This window comes from Homo sapiens, chromosome 2 (assembly GCF_000001405.40).
Source record: "Homo sapiens chromosome 2, GRCh38.p14 Primary Assembly".
NCBI lineage: Eukaryota > Metazoa > Chordata > Mammalia > Primates > Hominidae > Homo > Homo sapiens.
In genome coordinates, this window is record NC_000002.12 from 103,736,990 (window position 1) to 103,744,292 (window position 7,303).

At 36.0% G+C, this 7,303-nt stretch overlaps 1 annotated feature.

The window, feature by feature from the left end:
• Positions 486–3,895: an enhancer, noted in NCBI's record as "VISTA enhancer hs1526". NCBI's record gives its function as "enhancer in: forebrain[8/8]" and the evidence as "EXISTENCE:transgenic organism evidence [ECO:0001131][PMID:17130149]".

The window sequence follows — 7,303 nt, forward strand, 5'->3', positions numbered from 1 at the left end:
TCTGAACATGGGCAAGTTACTTAGGCTCTCTGGACTTGAATTTGAAACATATAAGCTAAGTTTGATTGTACATACCTTATGGGGTACTTATGAGGCTTAGATATGATTTATGTGATGTGTCCAGGGCAATGCAGGTGAGTAGTTGGCATTTAAGTAACAAAAGTCACAGTGGTATGTGGGATAAAGGTGATGCGATATTGTATTTCATTACTTACAGTGTACCTGGCACACAAAACATGTCTGTTGCATTTACACATGAACACTGAATGTTGAATACTTCACTGGAACAAGTGAAGTTAAGGATTACTTCTGCCATAACAGATTTCAGTCTTTGAAGATTTTTCATACTGAAGAAATCCATCTATTACCAATAGTTCATTTTCTTCCAACATCCAACAGCAAATATTCTGACTCCTCTCATATTCTTGTAAGTCTCGTTTTTTTCTAGTCATAAAAAACTTGTCAATAAACACAACTTGTTTGAAAAATGCTAGACATATACCAGGCTGTATAACTAAAACCTATTAAATAATTTACCCAAATTTCAAACTTTATATAATGGCATATGTTTCCATTTCTTTCAATAAAAACTTAGTCATATTTTAGGGTTTCAAAAAAGTTGTCCAGTCAATAAAAGAGGTATAATGTTAGAGCAATGAAAACGTCATTGGACTAAAGATAAGGGGGTGAGATGGGGTGTGGGGGCAATTTTTGATTAAAGGATGACTTGTGCATTTGTTTTTCTAGTACCAATATGATCAGTTTCAAAATGGAAGCTATACTGAAACTACATAACACAAGGAAATTTTTATACATCAAATAGAGTTCTCCATCTGCCTCACTCCATATTGTTTTTTTTCTCGAGAGATCAAATCACAAAGACAAAGAAGACTCTCTACTATCTGCTAGGTATACTTATCATAGACACAATAGAAAGGTAAGTAAAGAGGCAGCTGACTAAGCCAGTTATTTTTACGACAAAATAGCCATTGGACATTTCCATGACTATAGTGTTATTTGGAGATTTAACCTAACTTGAAATCAATTCCCGTGTAGTGAAGTGAAACTAGCAATGTCCAGGAGCCCAGCTTGCAGAAAAGTCGGCATTCGAAAATGAAAATATATTACAATGCTAGCATCTTTCTAACCACTTCTCCCACAAATTATTCATTTAGACAGCTTATGAATTGGATTTGCAACCGGTGTTATGCCATACACAGTACAAAGGAATGAATGCTTGGTGGACTTTATCTGTTAATTATATAACGCATGATGTCAGATTTCATATTGCCTGGGGTTTCTGTTGTTAACCTTTAACAAATTTTAACTATGTGCTTCTTCTACATGTTTAGAAAGCTCTAAAAGACTAAGATTTCTTGGATAGTCTTAGATATCCAGACTGTGCTTGTCCAGTAGGCGGTATTTTAGATGTGACTTAGGAGATCATTGAAGTTAGAGGACATTTGTTCATGACACTTTTAAGTTGGAATCACCTCCCAGAAGCAAGTATGATCTGTTGAAGTACTGTGAATAAAGGTTAATTTTTAATGACTGAGCAGTAGAGTAAAAGTTTCTTTTACCTCTTTTTTTCTTTAATTTTTAGCTAATGTGATGTGAATATGGTGGATAATTAGAAAAGTCTCAAAATGCATTCTAAATTCATAATTTTTTGCTTTTCTTAATTACCTTTGAACATTCTTCTTGTTAAACGAATACCCCAAAATGATGATTAAAAAAAGCTAGTAGTCAGCTCCTGCCAGCCATAAATCAACATTTTTCTTGACACAATGAGTTTTCATTTATCTCTGGTATGCAGCACTTAAGGATTGATGTGTTCTAACTGTACTTTTAAGGACAGATTTTCATGTGAATACAAGCACTGGCATTTAAACAAAGAAAATCATTAATCTGAATCTAAACTTTATATTAACTATTTCACTTTTTTTTTTTTCCTCCCTGTTTGCCTGTCTTTTCTCCTTTCTATTCTCAAGGTCATTTTCTGCCATTTCCAAAGGCACTTTAAATTTTACCTAGAGTTTTTGGTTGCCTGTTAGATGAAGGGCTAAGTGATTATTTTGCAGCAAGAAAATGAAAGTTAGATGAACCTTGACATACCACTCAGGGTATAATTCATATCACCAGGATTTATCCACTTTAGGAACTAAACAGTTAACCTAATCATCTCATTTTATTGCTAATTTAGAAAAGCTTTTCCCCCTCTAAGTACACTCTCACTTTTCTAAATTCACTGCTCATGACCTGAGCCTTTTATCCACTGCACTATTACCAACAGCTAATCCCTCTCACTTATTGATAATTGGACAAAACTGAACAACGTGCCAACTCCTGAACACAGCATACCACTGAGGGTCCTATTCAGTTATTCCCGAAAAACCACATTGGTTTCCAAGTTTGGTTCTTTTGTGGCATATCAATGGGAAACAAGTGAGAGATTTTCTCATTGCTTAGGAATTTCGCCAATTCTAACCTGCTCATTGAACAATCTTTCTAAGGAATAACATTTACAGTTTATATAGTTCACAGATCTTCCCTTTCTTACAGTTCAATGAATAGTCTGCAATTCTTGTTTACTGAAATAATTACTTAATGCATATATTTAGGCTATAATTATACCATAAGTATCTCCTCCAGAACTTAGTTTATTTTGTCGATCCAATGCAAATTCAAACGAGAGATGCCCCAGTGTCTGGGGCTCATGCAGATTTATCACAGGATTAAGCCACAGGCACTACTTTCTATTTGCTTAATTAGTTCTTGAAATTATAGAAGCCTATGATTTGATGCCACATAGAAATCAATGCAATACTTTCTTAAGGGGATATTCCATCAAACTGTGAAACTGCATTATATCATACATGCAGGTGTAGGAAATATTTTGTATCTTTAAATTTAATAAACATATTTAATGGCATCTGCTAGCATGAAACAAGCCTTTGGGGCATATGTTAGGAAGCAAGGACAAAGACTTTGGCAACTGAATTATTATAGAATGAAATTAAAAGCTTACAACAGGGTAGCATTCAGAGATGCTCACAAAGAGGGTACAATGCAGTTCACACATTCATGGCTTGAATTTATGCCCTTTCCAATTCAATGGGACAGTGTTGGCTGCTTTTCACTACCTTCACACAGCCACAGGAAAATGAGGGCCCAGGAAGGGGCACACATGGCTTCTCTGCATTGGTTCTCCCTGGAACCTTCTTTTCAATTTTCCCCTAACATGACCATGTTTTCTCACAGCCTTTAACATACTTCACATGTTGATTTCCCTAGAAGTTTGATATTAAAACACAGATGGGACGCCATGAATTTTTATTAAATTTGAGCGCTTATGTTTAGAAGAATTGGGAAAGTGGCCAATGAATGGATTAAATGATACTCAGAGTTAGAAAATTGGCCATTTAAGGAAGTTAAGTGACTCAAGACACAGGAAGAAAAAAATGAAATGCAAAAAATGTTTGAAAGTGACAAGCATGTGAGGAAATCCACTGTATTGATGCCTTTATTGTCCCTTTTGAAGAATTTTTAAATACCCCTCCAAATTGTTTTATTTTGCAAGTCACCAAAATTAAATTCGTTTTAAGTTAGATGCCCACAATGGTTTTTTTTTTCCAGATTTTTTACACCTTTCATTTGAGAGTTGCATTATTAACTAACTTATCAGCACTGATGATAATTTATTAATTCATTCACTCACTTACTCATGCACCAAATACAATTTGCCCCCTGCTCTGCATCAAGCACAAGGCAAATAAGGTCTTCCTATGGAAAACGTTAATTTTCATAAGATGTGGCAAAGCCATGGCATGTTTCCATCAATGAGAGGTTGTAGTGGTGACAGAATGGGAGCTGTTTCAAAAAGGCTGACATGCTGTCTACATGTCAGAGACTCCACCAGGAATAAGGCCCAGAGCATTAGGGTCTCTGGAATTCCTCCCCATGGTTCCTCCAGGGAATCAAGTCCTAATGTCTACAGCATCCATCATAGGTAATAAATTAATTTCTTGCCTATTCCTTCAGATGGTATTAGTAATGGACCTCATAAGAATTAAGAATACGACCTCTCAAGTTATTTTCTGTGTTTCAGGGTTTGGAAGAAGAACCCCAGTTGAGAAAGGACATAGGCTTCCATAGGCCAACTGTCCATATAGGGCTTTATAACTTGATTTTAGGGATAAAGAAAGCCAGAGAAAATTGTTTAAAGTGAGTATAATAGTGTTTTGATATTGGTTATTTGGTTTGCTTATTAGAAATAATTAAACTACATTGCTTTCTTATGTGGCTGTTTTACTTGTTATTTTCTGCTTCCTCCTTCTCTCAAGCCAGACCCATTCTCCATACTTCCCTGCCTTTCCTTGTGCTTGGAGGCTGACCTCCCCATGGACCACTCGCTGGCTTTCAGGAGAGTTCAGCAAATAGTAGGCACCGGTGGAGGACTGGTGCTTTGGTGGATAGAGAGGATTGGAGTGGCTCCCTCCAAGCATGGGCCTGGGGTGTGGCTCTGTTACGGGTAGTCTCTTTCCACCTCTGCACTGGCTCCTGCAGCATGAGCCTGTAATTCTTTCTGTCCTCTTTAGGCTGAGGGATGATAACAGACCATGAGTAAAGTCTGAGTTTGTCACAGGTTCTGTCAACCCCACCTATACTTCCTAAACTCTCCTCACTACACCTGTTTGTATTGAGTCCTCTTGACATCTGGACCCTGCTGATTTCAGTAAACAGCAGCAGAATACTGAATACTGATGCCTCTGATAATTTTGTGTCAGTTAACAGTCGAGTTTTCTTTTATGTAGGAGAAATGTGCTTTAGTTAGGTCTGGAGAATAGACTTCCAAGCTATACCAAATTATCGTATGATTTTTCTAAACACAAATTTTGAAGACACCAGTATTTATCATGGTTTGATATTAATTACACAGGAAAATATTTTCATTTCCTATTCCATATAGAAGAATTTTTATCATATTTATAGTATTGATGAAAAAAATGTGTGTGCTACATCTGAATATTTACCTCAAAAGATAGAAAATAATATTCATTTGTGTATAGAAATTACTATTAAAATAATAGCAAATTTGAGAAAGGCATTACACAAAAGCAGTTCCTTTTAACATATATATTTCCTTCCTATTTATTCCAGTAAACAAATACAGTGGCCAACACAAAGATAATTTCTAAGAATTAAGAAAAATGCCTATTGCTCACTTTTTCCTGTGGTTAGTGTTTCTAGTTTGAGAGTTAGATAGCTTAAAATCTCTCAAAGTTTGCATTTTTATGTCTGACTCAATTTATCCCAATAAAATAACATGGTTGCAAGGCCTGGATTAAGGTTCTGTGTAGAATCCCAGAGAAGTCCACAATTTGCTTTATGCTGTCATTTTAGTATTCCCTGTACTCATAGTGTCATTTTTTTTTCAACTTGCCTTGGATTCCTAGAGTCAGCAATGAGCTTTAATTTGTAAACATTTTTTTACCCATTTACATATAAAGCAACTACTATTATCACTAGGCAGCTGGTTGAAACAAACATCAGTAATAAGTCATGAAGTCATAAAATACAAGTGCTGTATCTCTTTAATTACTGAGTGTAAACCGCATTATGTGGGATACTTGTAATCCGATTTGGAGTAGCATTTTGACCAACTGTCCAGAAGCCTGTAACTGAAGCTGCGGAAAGCAGACCCCGAAACAGTATTTTTAGTAGTTCCCAAGCTGGTAAAAAGAAAATCAGACAAAAAAAAATAAATAAATAAATAAAAAAATAAAACACGACAATGACAGAATCTCAGAATTAGGGAAAAAAAGTGGTAATTATATTTTTTAGTTTTCTTTGTTAACAATAGTGGTCAAAGATGAGAAAAGGAACTTCATAATTAAAGAACATTTATAGCCAACCTATTTAATGTATTTGTTTAAAACTGAAGCTGACTGTTTAAAAAGTTATGGGTGGGTATACTCCAGAACAAACCTGGAGGGATCAGTAGCTTTGCTTTTGCAAAAAGAAAGAGGCATACACAGTACAACTACGAATGGATGTAACTCTGGCTATGGCCCAGGTGTGGGTAAAGTGAGACCTCCCCACACACTCGCACAGCATGGCTGAATTGCCATAATAAATCCCAGTTAACCCTGCAGCCAGGGCCAAGCCAGCTTGAGAAAAGGGTCAGGAAAACAGGAGTGAAAGTGTTAAAGAAGTGATACTATTTAAATGGGGTTGCAGAACTCCTATTAAAAATGGCAGTACTATAAATGTTCTAGTATTGTCAGGAATGTTCTGTTGGATGACACTGTGCTGTGATTTGTACACACAGCAGACCAGAGTTGATGGGTGAATGAAATGATCCATAACCCTCTCTGACACATTTAGAGCAGTTCAGCTGCACACAGAGAACAGTCCATCATTTTCACCCTTCTGTGAAAGCTGGCTTTACCAAGTGTTTCAATGAAATATGTGCAACTTCCCATTTAAATTAGTACCACATGAACCATGAAGAGCACCACAGGTATCTGTTGTAGTACCAGCCTAATGTAAAAGTGGCCTGTCTTGTAATGCTCTAACAGGAAAGACATACAACCATTCATCTGTAACATATTAAAACCAGAAGAAATAAATTACTCCATAGATGAAGAATTATTGCTTGTGAAGAAAATGTGCAAAGGTAGTCCTAAAAAGCAGCTTTTACTAAAAAATTATCGCAACAGCATTTGAATTCTTAATGCATATTAAACTGAGAACTTGTAACCATAAATCATCATTTTTCAATGGAGGAAGTCTGGTTAAAACTTTTAGCAGAGATTTGTTTCACTTCTTCACCAGCTTTAGCCTTGGCATTGATAGGAAACTGCCTCAGACAATCACTGCTCCTATGCCACGAGCAGTGAATCAGAGTGATTATAACAACGGCAAGCAACAAAAAGAGTAGACGTGTATTAGTTTTTCTTTAATGTTTATTTCATAACATGACATAATCTAAGTGAGGTTAACTACAATGTATCAACAAAGCCAGATCTCTCCCTGTTATGAAAAAGAGTGCTGCTTAAGTAACACTGTAACGAATGAATAGTCATCTTTGCTTAAATATGTGTGATTTAGGTGCAATGGCTTAGGACCATAAAAACCACCCCAGTGTACACAATATTCATTTCAAAGGAACATGAATGGTTGCAATTCAGTCAAACTACTTTCCTAATAACTTTAAATGCTCATGCAATAAACATAGTAACAAAAAACACGTACCGGGTTATGGCAATGGACCAGGTACTTTGCTAAATATTGTACACAC